At 36.4% G+C, this 21,695-nt stretch overlaps 1 long non-coding RNA gene across 4 annotated transcripts in view; it reads right to left on the bottom strand.

The window, feature by feature from the left end:
• Window positions 1–5,430: 5,430 nt before the first annotated feature.
• The window catches only part of CCN2-AS1 (CCN2 antisense RNA 1), a 200,374-nt gene continuing 184,109 nt past the window's right edge, over window positions 5,431–21,695 (bottom strand). For 3 of the 4 annotated variants that reach the window (NR_187594.1, NR_187596.1, NR_187593.1), the window contains one exon: window positions 5,431–8,825. This is a non-coding gene — a long non-coding RNA (CCN2 antisense RNA 1). Of the gene's footprint in view, window positions 8,826–17,029; window positions 17,311–21,695 lie in introns of all 4 variants that reach the window. The other variant, NR_187595.1, reaches the window with a different exon arrangement.

Here is a 21,695-nt window from a genome sequence, read left to right as displayed (position 1 = left end):
TGCTCTGGAAAAACCTGAGGACAGAATGGATCTCTCACTAGCTTTTTGCAAAACTCCAGCAAAAGTTGAGTAGGAGATAATGCTGTTTAAAGGGGCTGGAGGTAGTTGAACAGGTTGTTAGTTATTCAGTAAAATGGCTTCCAGGAAGAATATTTGCTTCTCACACTGAAGAAGGGAAGCCAGTTTAGTGCAAACCTCCTGTTATAGGAATTAATCCAGAATGATGTCTGACTTGGGAACCTTCTTAATAGATCATTTCCTCTCCATGGTAATATCAGATACATTTAGACAGCAAAAGGGAATGGCAGTATGCTAGCCCATCATAAGCTGAATAATTGATTTTATTTTGTTACTGTCACTGAAGGTGATAATATTAGCATCTTCAACTAAAAAGAGAGAGGAAAAGAAACTAGTGTCAGGGGCAGCTGAGCTTATATCAGCTTATGGGGAGATAAACAGAAAGCCCAATCAGGCGCTCCAATGGTCAATAAAGAGGAAGTAAATAAGTGTTTAATTCAGGGACAGAAGAAAGCACCAAGACTTGTTGAGATAGCAGAGTCTTCCGCAAATCCCAAACGCCTCTCTTTGTGTTGACAAAACAACACAAAGTGCCTGAAGCAGGACGCTAGGCTTGTTTACAGAGTGAGCCTGTGTGTCCTTGGCTCTCTTGCTTCCACAGCTGGCATTGTGTCTGTACTATTGTCCCATTCACTAAAACCAGAATTGAGGGAACTGAGGTAAGCCATTGCCCAGAGTGTTTCCTCAGTTCTTGAGGAATGTTTACTGAGGTGTGGTGTTTTTCAAAGTCTTTAATAAGTAGTACGCCATGTCCTCCGTACCTTTATTTTTCTAAATGTGTGGGGAGAACACTGTTTTCTGCTCCTTTGCCAGCATTCCAAAACATTTCTTGTTGCTGTGAATTCCATGCCATCTTCTGAAAGTGGACAGCATGACCAGTGCTTTGTACTGCAAGGCTATATTCAGGTTTTCCAAATAAGAGAAACTTGACTTTGTAGACAACCCAAAAACTAAGGCCCATCAATGGTGTAAAATGGAAATCTTGAAAGCAGCAACATGTATAAGAAGAGTACAATTCATTTTTGCCTTCGGGACTGTAGGACAGAAACAAACAAAAAAAATTTTCTTTAATATCTTCTTCATGTCATTTTGATTCATCCTGAAATCAATTGCCATCATTTAGGCAGACCACAAAACATTGTATTAGAAAGCAAATTTTAGGTTTAATGATATAAATATTTGTTTTTCTAATGTAAGCACTGAAACTTTTACTGATTTTACCACTGTGTACTAACCTCTGTTTAAATGTTCTCTTTTTGCAGAATAACTAGCCTAGTATGAAATTTTTACTCTTTGCCTACTAAGAAAATAAGGAAGTGCATTTATTTCATTTGGATGACAAGTAGACTATAAGACATAGGAGGAGAGAAGGAAAACTATTTTATTTTTATCTCTGTAAGTTAAGAGATGGAGGTTTATTAAAAATATGCAGGGAAGACATTTTTCAACTAACCAAAGAGCAGTTTTCAGACTCTACCAAAATGCTCCCCAACTTTGAAGGATATGAGAAATTCTGACCTCTGTGAACCAAGGGTGCCCATGTTTTGAGAAGGACTACTTTGTACTCAGTTTGGAGGTTCCTTTCAGAGCATCTCACACATGCATTTGTGTGTCATACTCCAAAATGGGGTGATATGGTACACTGCAATTTGCATGTTAGTAAGAATTAAAGTCAGAGCTGGACATGATGGCCCACTCCTGTAATCCAGCACTTTGGAAAGCCAAGGGGGGTGGATCACTTGAGTCCAGGAGTTCAAGACCAGCCTGGCCACCATGGCGAAACCCTGTCTCTAATAAAAATACAAAAATTAGCCAGGTGTGGTGGCACATGCTTGTAATCCCAGCTACTCAGGAGGCTGAGGCATGAGAATCATCTAAACCCGGGAGGTGGAAGTTGGAGTGAGCCAAGATCACACCACTGTATTCCAGCCCGGGTGACAGGGAAAGACTTTATCTCAAAAAAAAAAAAAAAAAAAAAATACAGCTGGGAAAAACATGAAAGGGAAGGACACAAACAATTTCTGTAGGAACTATTGTAGTCGAGGGGTTGGAGGCTTCATCAGACCTCGAAGTGTCTTTTTAGAAATCAAAGATTGAGCACTGATTTTTTGAAAGGATCCAATGGAAAGTGGATAATAAATAGCAAATTAAAGAAATTGCCTTAAAACAGGAAGACTGTAACTTTAGATCTTAAATATCAAAATGTGAAAATAAAGAAGAGAATTGTCTGTGATGAAAAAACGTACTTTACAATTTTTCAAAAATTAGAGAATTAGGATAGATACAGAGATTTCAGGAAGGTAGTTTGTTATGTAAAAAGGATGCATTTGGCTGGGCACGGTGGCCCATGCCTGTAATCCCAGAACTTTGGAAGGCTGAGGCAGGCGGATCACAAAGTCAGGAGTTTGAGACCAGCCTGGCCAACATGGTGAAACCCCATCTCTAGTAAAGATACAAAAAATTAGCCAGGTGTGGTGGCGGGCACCTGTAATCCCAGCTACTCAGGAGGCTGAGGCAGGAGAATCGCTTGAACCTGGGAGGCAGAGGTTGCAGTGAGCCAAGATCGCACCATAGCACTCCAGCCTGGGCAATATAGCAAGGCTCCATCTCAAGAAAAAAAAAAAAAAAGAAAGAAAGAAAAAAGAAAAAAGGACACATTCATTAGAAAGGCAAAACATTTTAAATGGCTCTATTTTTTGTAAGAGTTTAAAAATATACTCCTATATTAAATTAGCATCAGCAAGGCCATTTTATCTGTTAGTCACTGGAGACCAGTGTCAATGGATTGTAAGATTTTTAAAGTATTGGCTCCAAACCACAAATGCAAGCTGCAAAATGGAAATTAATAAATGTTTAATTAGCTATCTACAAAAATAACATCAACTAGTCAGCTGCAACTCTACTCTTATAATTGCAATATAAATTATATTTAATGTAGGATATGGGTGGATTTTAATTTGTTTGATATGTTATACATGTGGGGTAGCCAAAAATAAGAGCACAAGGGCTCAAAACAGCCCTGAATAACATCCATATGATCAAAATGGAAATCTGTGTTTTCCTAGAGACACTGGAAGTTAAATAATAAAAAGTAGGAGAATTGGAAATGTCAGTGTTAAGTACCAAAGCAGCAGGCAGGCCTGGGAGAAAATACTGCTACTCTCTTACCCTCAGAACAACCAATGCTGGCTGAAATCTTCACCTCCATTCATCCAGATGAAGGCACTGTTGTATATATCTCTTGATATCTCTTTCTTTTCTTTTTTTTTTTTTTTTTTGCTTTTAAAAGCATGTTTTCTCTAAAATAGGTAAATATGCCATTAACATTTCATTGTGAATCCAGTTAGAAAGTCAATTAGCTACTATTCCCTGAGAGGTGATATCCCAAGGGTGGGTTGAGTGGTGGGGAGTGGGTGTGAATTTTAAATGTGAAGAAAGACCTAGTTCAGAGCAAGACAGGACTGACAGGGATGTAATAATTAGGAATGACTAGGATATGAATATATTACGTGGACAAGTTTAATTTGGGACTAACCCTGGATTTAGGTATCTTCACCTGATCTTCCTGACTAAAGAAAAATGATCCACTTTTTATTAACCACTTATCACCCAACAAATATTGTGATACATCAGCTGATACCCTACCAACATAATCTACATTCAAGGGACATGATGGAGAAAGGCCAAAATGCTTTCCTTAAAGGACTTTCTTCTCTCCGTTGCCCTTCTCTCTCCACCTCTGTATTAGTGCATTTTTCCACTGCTGATAAAGACATATCTGAGACTGGGTAATCTTAAAGAACCAGAGGTTTAAGGGACTCACAGTACCATGAGGCTCGGGAGGTCTCACAATCATGGCGGAAGAGCAAGGGAAGTCTTACATGGCAGCAGGCAAGAGAGAGCTTGTGCAGGGAAACTCCCCTTTATAAAACCATCAGATCTCATAAGACTTATTCACTATCACGAGAACAGCATGGGAAAGACCTGCCCCCATGATTCAATTACTTCCCACTGGGTCCCTTGCATGACACATGGGAATTGTGGGAGCTACAATTCAGGATGAGATTTGGGTGGGGACACAGCAAACCATATCAGCCACTCCACATAAACAGTTAATCTTTAGAAATTAAGCCAAAAGTTATGTAACTTGCTGGATCAGGAGCTGTAAAGCCAGCTAGAACCTTGCAATGTTAAATCATACAGACTACCATGAAACAAATCATTTTTAGGTTTTTATTCATTATTCATGGAGTTGCTTCTGAACCTCTTAACCAAGACAGAAAAAAAAATTAACCTAGGAGGTAAAGTAGGAATTAAAAGAGCCATGTATACAAAGCAGAGGTATGGGATACAGGGAAGAAAGCTGCTTAATTAACTTAACAAAATTAATTTTGATATACCAATAACTCCTTGTGTTTGACTCTTTACATAACTGTCCTCAACATGAAACTGCTCTGTTGATCTGAAAAGAAATCAAGATTGAGGTTGACAGGCATTTTAAATTTATTTTTCATTCTTGACTTTGAAAAGTTGATTACTTGGACAAGCTTTCTCCTGTCACCCTTAAGTTTTCAGAAGCAGTTCTTCAATTAAACTTTATTCATAAAAACCCCAAACCTGTCATTTCTCTTGGATGAATGAAGCTTTACGGTTTTCACTGGGAGAACACAGGGAAAATATTATTTTTTATATATAGTTTATGAAAATTTACTTAGTTTTAAATAAAATGAATACCTACCTGTTATAAACAAGTCAAATGGCATAGAAGGGAAAAGTGAAAATAAAAGTTTCCCTGCCCCCAGTTTCTTCATCTTTTTAATCCTACCCCCTAAATGTACACAATTATTTCTTATGTTCTGTACCTTTATTTTCCATTGTTAAAGTGACAACAGAGACTTCTGCTTCTGATAAAGGAGGAATGCAGCCATACCCTATATAGATTAGTACAGAGGTTTTTCTTTCATACCCAATACTTTTTCTCTGAGTTGCATTTTTCTCCAGATGCTGAGGTACATCCTGTAACATGCAGTGTTTGTCTATAGGTAACATAGTCATCTCTTTTGACTTAGCAACTGGGAATCAATCCCACAGGAATCCTGACATCTTTGCAAAAGATATGTGCAAGACAGTGGGGCATTATCCAAAACACTGAAATTTTGGAAGCAACCTTGAATGTCCTACAATAGGTACAAGGCACATCTTCACTAAGCAGTCATGAAAATGATGAGATAAATTTATATGTGCTGACAGGGAAATATATTTTGATGAAAAACCAAGGAAAAAAAATCTATTAAACGCCAAAAGCAAATTACTGAATGTATTGTATGATTACACACATATACAACACACACATGCAAAATGAACCTATTTTATTATTGTTATTCCCAAACTTTTCTATGCATTTACATACATATGTAACATAAATACCGCATATATTATGAAATGAATACCAGAAGATAAAGGTAGTTAATCTTAGTACTAGGAAGGGTTGTTATATATATATTACACTCTTCTGATGAACCTGAGAGTGGCTTTCTTTTGTCCTCTAAGATTCATGAGGGCAGGGATTTTTATGTCTTTTTATTCACTGCTGATCCTTGCATCTGGAACATGGTGGGCTCTCAATCAAAATGTGTTGAATGAATGAGCAATCTTGTTCCTCCCACATTAGAAAAACTGTATATGTTAATACTTGATAGATTAGGCCCAAAACAAAGAGGAAAAAAATAGGACTCTAGCTATAAAAAGAAATTTTATTTAAAAAATTCTATACAAAGAAATTTAAAGAGGTCAGAATGGTGACGAGATGGAGGGACCAACCTGCAGGGAGAGGAGGAGGAGGAGGAGGAGGGGAAACCTAGGGGAGAGACTGTTCAGAGGAGGAGAGCAGAGAGCTGGTATGCAGCACCCTCCTTTCTGGGTCTAAGCTCCATTTTCCAAAGGGAAGACTTTCTATTAATAGGTTCTGAGTTCACATTCTTACAATACTAAGAATAGCAAAAAAGAGAATGCCATAGTATTAGCAACTAGATTTAGAAAGATGACTTTGACTTTGCAGGACAATTTCAATATTGACAAAAAAACACGAAACAAAAACAAACAGTGGCCCCGAGAACCATGGTTTATATTTATATATGATCATTGATTCCAGCTGTTAGTGATCACTTCCTTCTTCCTCTTTTAATGCCAGATGACTATCTTTCGTTTTTGAGGAAAGGACCTATGGCTGAATTATAATTGAAGAATTTATGACTTAAATTGGTTTAATTAAAATATATAGAAAGGGGCAGATATATATATGAATGAAACTCACCATAATATATTTCTGTTTTCTCTAATGGTTATTGATTTAAAGTTTAATCTATTATTTATGAACAGATTCAACGTTCATCATTCGTGAGGCATGAGGCTTCTCATAAGTCACTCTGTACTATGACTAATTAAACTTATAGAGTAGAAATCCATATTTGTGTGATCTCTTAGGGCTCTTTGGAGTTACTTAGTTAATGATTGCTTAACTTTTTGAATCATAAGTTTTTATTCTCAGTAAACTCAGAGGTACAGGGCCTATGTGACACCAAATAGTCTCACAAAGCCACACAGTATTAAAGAATAAAAAGCTTACACTTTATAAAGACTAGCTACATTTAGTTATATTTAGCTACTAAGATATACAAAAACTAAAGAAACAATATATTAGACATAGATTCTCTATGACTAAATGGAGTATATGTTCCATTTACCTGGGACAGTTGCTACCGACTCCCATTGTCCTGGCACAGTTCTTAAAAGAGCCCCCTTCGGAGTCTGTCCAAGTTTGAAAATAAGTTATATGGTTACCCTGTACTAAGGAAAGAAAATGGTTGGCCTTAGGCCAAGTTTCTGTCTTTTCTTCGTGTTAGTCAATTTCCATTTCATATCAAATTCTCAGAAGCCAGAATTCCAGGAGAATGATTGAAAGGATATCTGAACCTCCCTTAGGATATTGAGGAACACACACTAATTTGGACTACAACAAGGTCCCAGCTGTGATACGGCAAAAACTCTCAGAACTCTTTGAGGTTGCACTTCTGTAGAAGAGACAGTTGCTTGCTGTTTGGGTTTCATATTGAAATAAGACAGTATGTGCTTCTCTCTCTGCCTCCCTTAAGCTCCCCTCATTAGGACAAACAGCATTATAACAAGGAAGCTGCTGTTTTGCTCCCTACAAATCTTAATGGATAAACTAAAATTCCAGTGCAGTGTAATAATTTGAGCTTTTTCTTGAGATAGCTTTTGATGTCCACAACAAAATTGACCCAATACTTTGATAAATGTAGAGTCTAAAAAACTTCAGTCCTATGTAGCTTTCAGCTTATCCCTCTAGTATTTCTTGTTCTATCACTGAATGAGCTCACTTATCTGATATTCTTAAGAACCTCTTGACATTCCCAGGCTTTTCTTCTATTTTGTAATCATTTTCTAGTTCCAATTTGTTATTTTTATGTTATTAATTAAAACACTTCAATTAAGTCAGGGGCATCTATTTAAAGGCAAGAAGGAAGTTAACTGAATTGGAATGCACCATAAATAATAGCTTTGCATTTTTAAAGAGTGGTGGTAGTAGTGATGGATACTTTTTTGGATTTTTACATTTTACTTTGTCTGCTTAAGCTATGGCTATTATCATGGCTCTCTGATACAGTGTGCTGGGAAGCAATCTCTTCCTTTTCACAAGCATCAGTAAGCAGCTATTTTGTACAAATATTTAGACATTCTTTGAGTTAAAATGGCATTGTTGTATTAATACCCTTGTAGAATGTTAATCTTGGTATTTTAGATTTCAATCATAATTTGTTAAAAAAAATTAACTCCTACTTTATTTCCCTTTACAAATATGTTCTGCATTTATTTGATTACAAGTGTCTTCATGTATAATTCTGACTTCAAATGGACCAAATTCTCCCCTGCCCACATTCTTCCTGGCTATTGGAAGCATCTTGCCTCTGCAGCCTTTGTATGGTCATGTTTGATAATCTCACCTCTACAGCGAGCCTGGCTGCTGGCCATCTGTGCCTGAGCTTCCCCTTCTGTGTGGCCCTTCTGTTCTCTTCCCTCCACTGATCCTAAACTCATAGGTGAATATGACAGTTTGATATCCCTCCTCAAAGCTGTAATAACAAGGTGCCCAAATATGACCCAGCTTGAATAACAACACTTTGTTTTAATGTGAGGTCTTCTCAGAAGAGCTTCCCATACATCCTTGTACTGGTTAATTACCCCACAGAAGCCAGTCTAATAGGGAAGGAGAGATGGTGACAGCTTAGCAACAACGGTCATAGCCCTGCCCTTAGGGGAGCTGTTGTGTAGAAATGTCCTCTCAGTCCAGATCTTGAGGCACAATTCCCAGGCTTCTGTCTTCATTTTGGTATTGCTGATTTCTTTTGTCTTTAATTTGAAACTGGAACCTTAAGCCCTGGCTATATTCTCAAATTCTACACTGGACTGACAATAAGTCTACAAACTGCCCCCAGCCATCTCCTCAGACTCAAAACCTTACTGCCTTATCCACACTGGCCTGCTATTACAGACCTCTGATTTCCATTTATATTCAAGACTCACACCAATGAAAAGAATGCTTTCTGTTTCTAGAATCTTCCATCTGCTTCAATCTCTAGCATAATCTTCTCAAGCCATTTATGACTCCTGAAGCTCTTAAACTTGCTCTTTTTGTGCAGACTTCTCCCATGGCAGCCTCCAGTATTATCCTAAAATATGGATATGGGAAAAAAGAAAAATTAGAAAATGCCTAATTCTCATTATTCTTTTCTCTGCCTACTAATCTCTGGTGGCTCCCTCAAATGATCAGCAAATGGATTGCTTTGGTAGACAAGATTCCTTAGAATCTTATTCCAAACAAACTTTTCAATAGCATTTGATAACTATCCCAATGTGTCCATGCATCCTAAGTCCTAATTAAGCAAGACAACTAAAATGACTCCCCCAACTTAGCAGGGGTTTCAATATCTTCATGCTATTACTTGTCTCTTTCATTGGTCTGGAAATGCTTTCTTCTCATGTTTTATCTTGCAAACTCTATTCACTCTCTACAGGCCCACTGAATTATCATCTTTTTTAGAAAGCCTTCCCCAGTCCATCTAGAAGGTAAAAACTGCTTACTTGTTACTTACTACAGTGCATTAATTATTAGTGTTCTTATGATTTCTCAAGCCTTTGTTACTGGAGAGGAAATATCATGACTACAAGAGGCAACTCTATCTGTTGAAATTAAAAGTTGGCTGGGGATAAATAAAAGTATGGTCAGACTGATTATAAGGATCTAAAATGTGCAAACAGCTCCTCTTAAATCTTTTATTTTGCTTTCATTGCTTTTGTGAATTTGTTAGGAAGATAATCTTCGTTTTCCTAATTTAAGTTTCCACATAAAAGTATTCCTTAAAAATAAAGAGCCTTTTGACTGCTGTAGACCTAACTATTAGCTTAGCTTCTATACCCCCTAACCAGGTACTTAGGAAAGTTCCAGGTTACTCAGTAAAGATGATTCCCCCTTTATCAGTCCTAATTGAGTTTATTCAATTTCTTTAATATATTCATTAGCCGGCCAGGCAAGGTGGCTCACGCCTGTAATCCCAGCATTTTGGGAGGTCAAGGTGGGTAGATCACTTGAGCTCAGGAGTTTGAGACCAGCCTGGTCAACATAGTGAAACCCTGTATCTACAAAACAAAACAAAACAAAACACCAACAAACAAAAATTAGCCGGGTGTGGTGGCATACACCTATAATCCCAGCTACTTGGGAGGCAGAGGCATGAGAATCGCTTGAACATGAAAGGCGGAGGTTGTAGTGTGCCAAGATTGTCCCACTGCACTCCAGCCTGAGTGACAGAGCGAGACTCTGACTCAAAAATATACAAATGTATGTGTGTGTACATATATATATATATATTTATATATATATGTATTTATATATATACTCACATTTAGAGCTACCCCTAAAGAATAATAACTCGTGTTCTAAATTTAGCACACTTACACACCTGGGGAGAGCATAAACTAATCAATGGGTTGTCAATGTGAGAACTGGTGTTACTGATTAAAGGGTTATTGAGAACTTTCTAGAATTAAAAAAAAAAAAAAACATGAGTTCTGAGATTTAAAGTGTTCAAAAAGTAAAATGTTTGGTCAAGAGAAATAAATTCACATTTGGTTACATTGCAAGGAAACTAAATACACTGCATCAAAGATAAATATATATACATATATATGTATATATATTCATTAGTCTCAAGTCAGAATAATCCTGAGTTCAAGAGACATAGACACACTGTTAGTAAAAAATGAAGAGGTAATCTGCTTTTAAGGAGGGAGTTATCCATGCCCCTTGGGAAGCACTTGGAAAACACTTTGCAGTTGTTCTACCTAAATTCCATCGTGAGAGTGGTCACTTCTCGACTGTACAATTCACTCTGCCAGATTTAACACCAGCAAATGACTAACTGGAAGTCTGATCGTTAAGTTAGACACATGGCTTCCAAGGAACTATGACGGGAAGTCTCCATGTAAACATGAGAGGCAACCATGTGCCTTTTCCATGTAAAATTGGATTTCATTTCTTAGGGAATGAAAATCACAACGGTAATTACTACTCACATCTTCCACCACACCTCCCAACATCACCCTGTTGTTTTCTTCAGAGGCATGGCATTTTCAAATGAACAGTTTTCTACCTATAACAACGTAATCTTGATTTCTCTCCATGCCCTCAACATTGTTTAATTTATATATTTAATCTGCTCCTTTTTTTTTCCTGAGTTCAGATCTTGAGTCTGACATAAGTTCATAATATGATTAATTGTACCCCAGAATACTATGACTTCATTCTAGGAATAACAAAACATAAGTTGCAAAATCTGAAAAGCTTGTTTTGTATGCCATCATCTTAATTAGGTACAAAAATTTGTATGTAATTTGAAACATATTATTGGGAGGGAGAGATTTAAAAATCAGACATTGTATTGCTTAACTATTGTTATATAAAAATAGCTCCAAAACTCAGTGACTTAACACAACAAGAAATTATACTTTTTCATAATTCTGAGTGTTGCCTTGATTCTGCTGATATTTTCTGTGGCTGCGTTCTGCTGGAGGGTTGGCTGGGATTACGTCAGGAAGGCTAGACCATGAGTCCTTGTAAGATAGTGATCTCAGGGTTTCAACAGGGCCATCCCCAGTGCACAAGCTTATATTCAGCCTCTGCTTATGTCACATTTGCTGATATCCTATTGGACAAAGCAAATCACATGACCAAGCCTAGAGTCAGTGTGGAAAGGACTACATAAGAGCTTGGATACTGAGAGGCATTGTGTATCAGGACCGTTATTGTAACAACCTACACAAATAAGACAGCATGAGAGCATTTTTTAGTTTAGTTTTTTTGTTTTGTCTTGTTTAAAGACAGGGTCCTGCTCTGTCACCCAGGCTGAAGTACAGTGGAATGGCCAGAGGCTCACTACAGCTTGAAACTCCTGGGCTCAAGCAATCCTCCTGCCTCTGCCTCATGAGTAGCTGGGGCTACAGGCATGTGCTACCATTTGCCACCAAAATTAACTATTGGCTAATTTTTTAAAAAACTTCTAATAGAGATAGGATCTTGCTATTTTGCACAGGCTGGTCTTGAACTCCTGGCTTCCAGCGATCTTCCTGCTTTGGCCTCACAAAGTGCTAGTATTACAAGCATGAGCCACCATGTGAGGCCAAGAGCATATTTTATTCTTACATTTGGAGATACCCCTAAAGAATAATAACTTGTGTTCTAAATTTAGCACACTTACACACCTGGGGAGAGCATAATCAATGGATTGTCAATATGAGAACTAGTATTACTGATTAAAAGGTTATTAATAGAGAGCTTTCTAGGATTAAAAAAAGACATGAGTTCTGAGATTGAAAGTATACAAAAAGCAAAATGAAATGTGTGGTCAATTGAAATAAATTCACATTTAGGTACATTGCAAGGAAACTAAATACAGTGCATCAAGGATAAATATACATTTTTTTTTAAAACAAAGACTAATTATAAATGAAAAACATTCATAAGACAAAACAAATCTTATGGTAACAATAGCTTGTAGAACCAAGTGGAGTGATATCTTCCAGTTACTGGGGTTAAATAACTTTCCATTAGAATTCTGTGCTTAATTAAATTATCATTTCAGAATATGAACAAATCTTTAAAAGTTTAGATGATAAAAGCTTAAGAGTATTTTCTACTTTAACAATTATAGATACAATTCTATATAATAGTTAATAAGAAATGATATGGAATTGGGATTGTATGAATAGTCAAAGCATATTATGCATTTTTAAGTATAGATAAATATTTTGAATAACTTTACTTTGTTAGAAAAAAATGTATATTTAAGTAAGTAAAATAAAATGTAGTAGGTGTTCACTAAATGAAAAGAAATATAATCTATACTTCCAAATCAGCAAAGAAAATAAAGGCGAATTTTGACAGTGGTAGCCTTTATTTCCTTTGCTGATTTGGAAGGGCAAGAGGGTGTTGATGAGGTGCTGAGAGGGTGTTGTAGTCAGGATAGTCTAGATTGTGCTGATAAACAAACAACCCCAAAATATTAGTGGCTTAAAACAATGAAGTCTGCTACCAAAGCCAACTGTTCTCAATGCAATGGCTTGACATTTCACCTCCACATTAACATGTCCTTAAAGACCATAGTAACAAAGGAGGAAAGCTTTGGAGACTCTTCCATTTTAGTATTGGCAATTGTACATGAAAGTTACGTATGTGACATCTACTCATATTTTATTGGCTAAAGCCATTTATCAAGCCAGACCCAAGCCCAAGGAGCAGAGAAATCCAATCCCATCTATACTAGAAGAAAAACAATAATAACTATTGGTGAGTAGCACTAATGTGTATCACAGAGGGAAATGCTTACATAGGGGAGTTATACATGTAATTATTTTTTTCCTTTAAAAATTGAAGCAAAAAACAATGCCATCCCCATAAAGCTACCAATGACTTTCTTCACAGAATTGGAAAAAACTACTTTAAAGTTCATATGGAACCAAAAGAGAGCCCGCATCGCCAAGTCAATCCTAAGCCAAAAGAACAAAGCTGGAGGCATCACGCTACCTGACTTCAAACTATACTACAAGGCTACAGTAACCAAAACAGCATGGTACTGGTACCAAAACAGAGATATAGATCAATGGAACAGAACAGAGCCCTCAGAAATAAAGTCGCATATCTACAACTATCTGATCTTTAACAAACCTGAGAAAAACAAGCAATGGGGAAAGGATTCCCTATTTAATAAATGGTGCTTGGAAAACTGGCTAGTCATATGTAGAAAGCTGAAATTGGATCCCTTCCTTACACCTTATACAAAAATTAATTCAAGACGGATTAAAGACTTAAACGTTAGACCTAAAACCATAAAAACCCTAGAAGAAAACCTAGGCATTACCATTCAGCACATAGGCATGGGCAAGGACTTCATGTCTAAAACACCAAAAGCAATGGCAACAAAAGCCAAAATTGACAAATGGGATCTAATTAAACTAAAGAGCTTCTGCACAGCAAAAGAAACTACCATCAGAGTGAACAGGCAACCTACAAAATGGGAGAAAATTTTCACAACCTACTCATCTGACAAAGGGCTAATATCCAGAGTCTACAATGAACTCAAACAAGTTTACAAGAAAAAAACAAACAACCACATCAAAAAGTGGGCAAAGGACATGAACAGACACTTCTCAAAAGAAGACATTTATGCAGCCAAAAAACACATGAAAAAATGCTCACCATCACTGGCCATCAGAGAAATGCAAGTCAAAACCACAATGAGATACCATCTCACACCAGTTAGAATGGCAATCATTAAAAAGTCAGCAAACAACAGGTGCTGGAGAGGATGTGGAGAAATAGAAACACTTTTACACTATTGGTGGGACTCTAAACTAGTTCCACCATTGCGGAAGTCAGTGTGGCGATTCCTCAGGGATCTAGAACTAGAAATTCCATTTGACCCAGCCATCCCATTACTGGGTATATACCCAAAGGACTATAAATCATGCTGCCATAAAGACACATGCAGACGTATGTTTATTGTGGCAGTATTCACAATAGCAAAGACTTGGAACCAACCCAAATGTCCAACAATGGTAGACTGGATTAAGAAAATGTGGCACATATACACCATGGAATACTATGCAGCCATAAAAAATGATGAGTTCATGTCCTTTGTAGGGACATGGATGAAATTGGAAATCATCATTCTCAGTAAACTATCGCAAGAACAAAAAACCAAACACTGCATATTCTCACTCATAGGTGGGAATTGAACAATGAGAACACATGGACACAGGAAGGGGAACATCACACTCTGGGGACTGTTGTGGAGTGGGGGGAGCAGGGAGGGATAGCTTTAGGAGATATACCTAATGCTAAATGACGAGTTAATGGGTGCAGCACACCAGCATGGCACATGTATATATATGTAACTAACCTGCACATTGTGCACATGTACCCTAAAACTTAAAGTATAATAATAATAAAATAAAATAAAATAATAAATAAAAAAATTTAAAAAAAAAACATAACATTAAAAAAAATTCTTAAAAGTTAGCATTTGTTGAAATATGACCAACACATGAATGATTGTTATATTATTTGTGGCACATCTCTATATTATTTTATATAATATTAAAAATCAAATGTCCTTAGTTATGACAATAAGAATTTTATATTTTAGCTTTATTACTTATAATTCTATGTTTGCAGCCGTACATAAGCAATGCTGTCCTAATAATTAAGCTCATAGTGTTGACTAATCAGCACTTTGCCTTAGTCTTTTACCTATTCCTTGCTGATGGAGCACATCAAAGCATTTGGCTATATAAGTGTTGTTCTTACCTTAGCAATTCTATAAGAGATATTTAATTTTAAAGCGTCTTTCCAAAAATACAAGAGAAAATAAAACAAACAAGAATCCCTTATAAATCCAGGTAATTATGTAATTATTTGTATAACACTGAAAAAACATTTGTTTTAGAGTTAGATAATACTGAATTTGAATCCCTAGTTAAGTAGCTGCATGATTAGGGCAAATTTTTCTAACCTTTCTTAAGTTTCAATGTCCTCTACTGTAAAAATAGTGACTATAATGCTTATTTCTAATAATGTTATGGGGATCAAATGGCATGATGTAATTAAAAGCACCTGACACATAGTAAATGTTTAATTATTTGGTAATTCAATCAGATGCAATTATTATTTTAAATAAATCCTAGAAGTAAGAAATGAAATAAAACTATTCTAGATTAGCCTTTTGAAAAAAAATGCCATCAGTGACGGTAATAACAAAGGAGTGAATCCCCACACCTTCTATAGCCACTTACTCCTGCTGCTGAACCTGCTTCCCAAAAGATATAGGTAAAAAGAATAGCACAGCAAAATGCAACTATTATCAGTAATGACCTCTGCTCCGAATCCTTATCTGATTAATCTTTATCATGATGAAATAGATTGAAATATTTGTGAGTTTTGAGAGCTAATTTTGCTCTTTCCCCCTGAGATTTATAACAAAATCATTTTCTTTATTGTGAATCTGGTGCAAAATCTATTGTCTTTCCCAAAAGTCGGTAGTTAAGACTTAAAAAATATATATTTTCTTGATATCTTTGGTTTCAGTAGTTTGACTATAATGTTGCTAGGTTTTCATTCTATTTATCTTGTATGGGTTTTGCTAAGGTTCTTCAGTATGTGATTTGATAGTTTTCATCAAATTTATGAACTTTTCAACTATTAATTCTTCAAATTTGTTTTCTGCCCCACTCTGTCATCTCCCTCCAATGACAGATGCCTAATAGTGTTCCACAGGTCATGGAGGCTTGGTGAATTTATTAAATGTTTTTTCTCAGAGTTCTTTAGATTGAATAATTCTACAGATATGTTTTCAAGTTCAATGACAATTTTCTACCTTCTCCAATCTGCTGTTAAGTCCACCCAGGGAACTTTTAATTGTGCTTTTTAATTCTAGAATTCTCATCTGTTTCTTTTTTATAGGTCTCAATTTTGTGCTTAGATACCCTATCTGTACACTCATTAAGATTATCTTTACATTTAAGTCTTTAAACATTATCTACAATAGTTTTTAAACATTATCTATAATAGTTTTTTAATATTCTTATATGTGTTTAGAATGATATCTAACTCATCTTTGTTTTAATCAAATTTATTTTTTCTTGTTTATTTGTCGCATTTTCTTGTTTCTTTTTAAGTCAAGTAACTGTTTATAATATGGTGGACATATAATTATAACTTGTGGGAGGCTGGATTATGTTGTATTTCTTTAAAGGGGAATGCCTTTTATTCTGACAGGTAATTAAATTACTAGAAGGACTTTTTGCTCTCCTTAAGTTTGGTCTTACTCTTTATAATCATAGGTCTATTTTGGTTTGATCCTTAGTCTTAGAATGAGACCCTTACCACAACATGTGGTCCTTACTCAAAAGGTATGGCTTTTCTAAGATCTCAATTAAATTCTCAAGGCAATAAGGACTCTATTCTGGCTGAATTGGAGCTTCAGTGTTTCCCAGCACAAAGCAACCTCTGGTATCTCCATTCCTCTCTCAGCCCCTTAGCAGCTACTCTACTAGGTCTTACACACACAGCCCAGCCCTTGGTTAAGGATCCAGAGTGAACCTCCATGCATATTTCTATCCTCTCCACCTCCCATTTCACACACACAAGGCTCAGTTCTCTTCTGGTTTCCTGCTCTGCAAATTTAGCTGTGTCAAGAGCCCAGAACTCTGATCTCTGCCTCCTCAATTTAGTTAGACTGCCATTCTACTTGGGCTCTGTCTTTTGTGCCATCATAAGAAAAGTATCCCCAGGCCAAAAGGTAGGGTGAATGTCAGAGCTCACCTCATGTGCTTTCCTTCTGTTAATTATCAGAATCCTGTGCTGCTTGAAATGCATGAGATCAGTTGCCTATATATTGTCCAGTTTTATAGTTGCTTATGGTAGGAAAGCAAATATAGTAACAGGTACTTCATTATGGCCAGTAGAAGTCTTTTGAGTCCTTTTCCTATTCCACTGCTAGCATGAGACAGAAGATAGTCCATAGCTTGTTTTTCTTCAGGTCCATATTTTCTTTGCATGGGCTTCATTCTAACCTTGTTTTGCCTTTCTGAGTTTAGCACTCTCTGGAGGAGGTAAAAGAAAGTAAAATACAATAAACTCTCTGAGTCCTAGTATTTTGTGACTGAATCTCTTAACCTGTTAGAGAAACATGAACATTTTATGGGACAAAATATGCTACATTTTTTTCTTCAGCTATAACCTCTTGATATTTTGTGCAGTGGATTTTTTAATGGATAATTAAGGTTGGCTACTTTGTAATCAAAGTACCCAAGTAAACAAGTACCCAAAGTACCCAAAGTAACCAAGTCATATTTACATAGATATTTGTTATATGGAAAGCCCCTTAGTCACTTTAGGCTGCCATACGAAATACCATAGACTGGGTGGCTTAAATAAGAGAAATTAATTTTCTCACAGTTGTAGAGACTAGATAGTCCAAGATCAAGGTCTGGCAGAATGAGAGCTGTTTCTCACCTATTTCAGGTGAGAGCTGTTTCTATCTTGTAAATGGTGGACTTCTCCCTGTGTCCCCACATGCAAGAGAGAGAAAGAAAGAGAGAGAGAATGCAAGCACCCAAGCATAAGCTCCCAGTGTCCCTTCTTACAAGGGCACGAATCCCATTGTGGGGGCCCCATCATCATGAGTTTATTTAAACCTAATTATTTCTCAAAAGCCCCACCTCCAAATGCCATCACACTGAGGGGGTGGGGCTTCAACATATGGATTTGGGAAGTACACAGTTCACCCCATATCAAGTCTTCACACTGGCACATCATGAAAGTTTTCTTCCATGATATATAACATAAGAGAGAAAAGGGTTTATATGAAGATCTCTCCTGTGATAAAGGTATGTTTGTACTTTTTCCAGTTTCATTAGTTTCATGTCTAAAAATAACTGCTCCTTAAATAATATTCACCTACAATGGGAAAAATTAGTCTCAAACATGAAAAAAAAATCATTTTTAAAAGGCTTGAGGGAAATGTGGCAAGAATCCCAAGAGAAAAAAATATTCTACAGAAATGTCTACAAAGACTAGGCATACATTTTTGAGGTCTTGTATCCTGCGGGTATTTGTAGAAGAGGAAAGTTTCTCTAACCTCCTTAGTCAGGCATTTATAGAGCATCTCAATCCCTGCATTTAGATGCTGATGAGACCCACCTGCTAGCAGCAGGCGCTTCAACAGGATGGCCAGAAATCCCAAGAAAATAATCAAGATGGAAAAAAAATAAGCCATCCTCAGCTTCTGAATAAGAAACTGGCTCACAGTCACACACAAAGCCATAGACTAAATAGAAATTTCCCATCCTAAAAATGAAATGTGTGCAGAATTCTTGGTGAGCGATATTCAATACTGCATCCACATTATATTATCACTATTTGCAAAACTACTCTGAGTTTTTTTTTGTTTGTTTGTTTTGTTTTTGCAGAAACATGCTTCCTTCTTTGTGATATTGCCGCTGGGTGAAGGGGAAGAATCTCCAGAGAGGCAATGTGACACCTGACACCAAAACTGTACACGACGTTAATACTAGAAAAACTATCTTCTTAGTTCAGTAATAAGACACTCGTTTCACAAAAAGAATCAGGAGTTTTCTGACTCAATTTTTACTTTAGTAGGAGAAATCTTAGAACACTCTTATCAGAGTGAGCTCTAAGATGTAAGAAAAACCTAGATGTTTGGAGAAAATTTAGTTACTTTGTGTGTGCTTCTGTGTGTTTCTTTACTTTGGGTTTCTGTGTGGATAGAAAAGAGGAATAGACAGTATTCTTCATTTATAAATTGAACCTACTCATTCTTATTTCTAGTGGTGATTATCTATATTTATACTCTCAAGTTCTGTTGTAAATAAGGGCAAAAAAGAGGGCTGGGTAAACTCAAGGCCCACAAACAAAACTATGCACTAGCAATTGGCCCGGGCAGTAATAATTGAATCCAAAAATGTAGGATAAGTTTTGAGTATATGTCTATATAAGTCATTATTGTGTTAAATTAAAATATTGCAAGGTAGAGTGTCTTTTTATCATTGTGCCATTTAGTAGCAATGTGTGCATCTAGACTCTGACTGAAGTTCTGAGTGACCAAGGATAAATAATTTATCCCTCTCTGCTCCATTTCTTTAGCTGTAAAATGAGAAGGAGAATGACAGAAACATGAAAAGAAATTGCAGAATGTGGAGTCGGGACAATTGAGCTGACATTCAAAACAACCTCACTCTTGAGGTAGAACACCTTCTGTGTAAGTGCAACTGAACATAACGAACAATTTCTGTGGCATCAGCCCTGCACTAAAGCTGATATTAGGGGCAATTCTGGAGAAGAGATGTTCAAAGCTCTATTCCAGAAAGCATACCATATTTATTTTCTTCATGAGATAAATCTTTTCTTATATCACACTGACAATTATCAGAGTAATTTGTATTACATATTATTACATTTTTACTTTAATATTTCACTTTATTCATTTTAATATCAATTGGCTGCTGCTGCTTTCATGACAAATAATGTTTAAATGGGAGGATGGTACTTGTGTGTGTGCGTGTTTTATTTTATATTATATGCTATCATATGTTTAATTGAGATTTAATTCACATACCATAAAACTCACTCATTTAAAGTGTACAATTCAATGGCTTTTAGTATAGTCACAGAGTTGTACAGCCATCAACACAACCAAGTATAAAACATTTTTCCCTGTGATTTGAATTACATGCGCCTTTTACATAGACAATGCCTGATCTTCAATTGAAGGGCTCTATAAGAGAACCATAGAATTTCAGAGCTAGAAAGGATGTGTAGGCTATGTATTCCAGTAATATTGCTTACATAAATTTCACAGCCAGGAAATGGCAGATTCCTGGCTCCCGGTCCTTAGCCTAGCACTCCTTCTTTCACCAAAGATAATAGTCTTTCACATGAATCACTGGTGTTTGCCAGTTAATGACAGCCTATTTTGTTCTGAGCTCCCTTCATAAAGAACATAGCATAGTTTGTCTTCCAAGATTTGTCATTAAAATGAAAGAAAGCCTAACCAAACAAAACTTGATATGCTTAGCATATGATCAGCAGAATGATAAAGTTATATACGAAGTGTTTTTACAGTACAATGAAATATATCACTTCTATTTCATGTATTAGAGCCTAGTGGTCAGAAGCATATATTCTGGAGTTATAAATGTCTGTGGCTCTGCCACTTATTAGTTGTATGATCTTTTTGAGCCTTAACTTTCACATTTAAAGTGGAAATAATAATAATAATAGTACTCCCCTTACAAGGTTAATAAGATCAAGTGAGATAATCAGTATGCATACTGAGGTCAGTGCCTGGCTACTAGTGCAACACATGTGCCATTAGTATACTTTCTTTCTTTTTTTTCTTTTTTTAAGAAATGGGGCCTCACTCTGTCACTAAGGCTGATGTGCCTTAGACTCACTGCAGCCTTGAACACGTAGTCTCAAGGTATCCTCCTGCCTCAGCCTCTCAAGCACCTGGAACTACAGGCATACACCATCATGTCTGGCTAGGTTTTTAAATTTTTGTCAGAGATGAAGTCTCACTATGCTGCCCAGGCTGGTCTCGAACTCCTGGGTTCAAGTGATTCTTCCACCTCTGCCTCCCGAAGCACTGGGATTACAGGCATGAGCCATCATGCCTGGGCTTATTATTTTCTGATACGTATATATCTCTTTATATATTTTAACACTGTCAATTAAAACAAACTTCCTCGAGTTAATGTTTAAAGTCACTATAGGATCTTAAATTGTTGCAGCATTTTAAAGTTTACCAAAGCAAATTTACATGTATTATTTCATTTGATCCACTCAAAAATCTGCTAAGATAAAACCCAGGATAACCAAAGGGTTGATCTAGCTTTTCCTTTCTCCTTCATTCTGAACATGTTTGCTGTATCAAGTTACCAAAAAGGAGAGTTTAGGAAAACAGACTGAAGACCCAAATTCATAACACAGACTGATATAGATTTAATAATTATTTTCTAATGTAGGTCTGATGGCTTAGCAGTGTGAATTAGAAGAAAAGTTTCTTTCTGTCATGCCCAGGCATGAAGAAGAGATGCAAGCACTAGAAAGCACCATCCTCCATACTGAAGTTCTGGGACACTGAGGGCCACGTGGACATGACTTTGTTTCTACAGGAAAGCCAGAATATCAACTTAAATAAATACTTTTATAGAAAAAAGTGTATTTCTCATATACAATTTCAGCTAGAAAGGCATATTCCAGAGTTTAAAAAATTTGCTATTAAACAGCCAATTCTCATAGTATTAAAAGCCAGTGTAATTGAAAGAGGACATCTCAATGCTAGACAAATAAATAATACAAGGGAAAGACTGTCACCTCCCATCAATCATCTTTTTTTACTACCTAAACTTGTATCTTTGTCTATTTTACACGGCACCAGCACCACCCTCTCTTTAATTTGAATGGC

The sequence above is a fragment of the Homo sapiens genome, chromosome 6 (assembly GCF_000001405.40).
Source record: "Homo sapiens chromosome 6, GRCh38.p14 Primary Assembly".
In the NCBI taxonomy this organism is placed as follows: Eukaryota; Metazoa; Chordata; class Mammalia; order Primates; family Hominidae; genus Homo; species Homo sapiens.
Note: the sequence above shows the minus strand (reverse complement) of the source record. Positions and strands in the feature narration are given on the sequence as shown.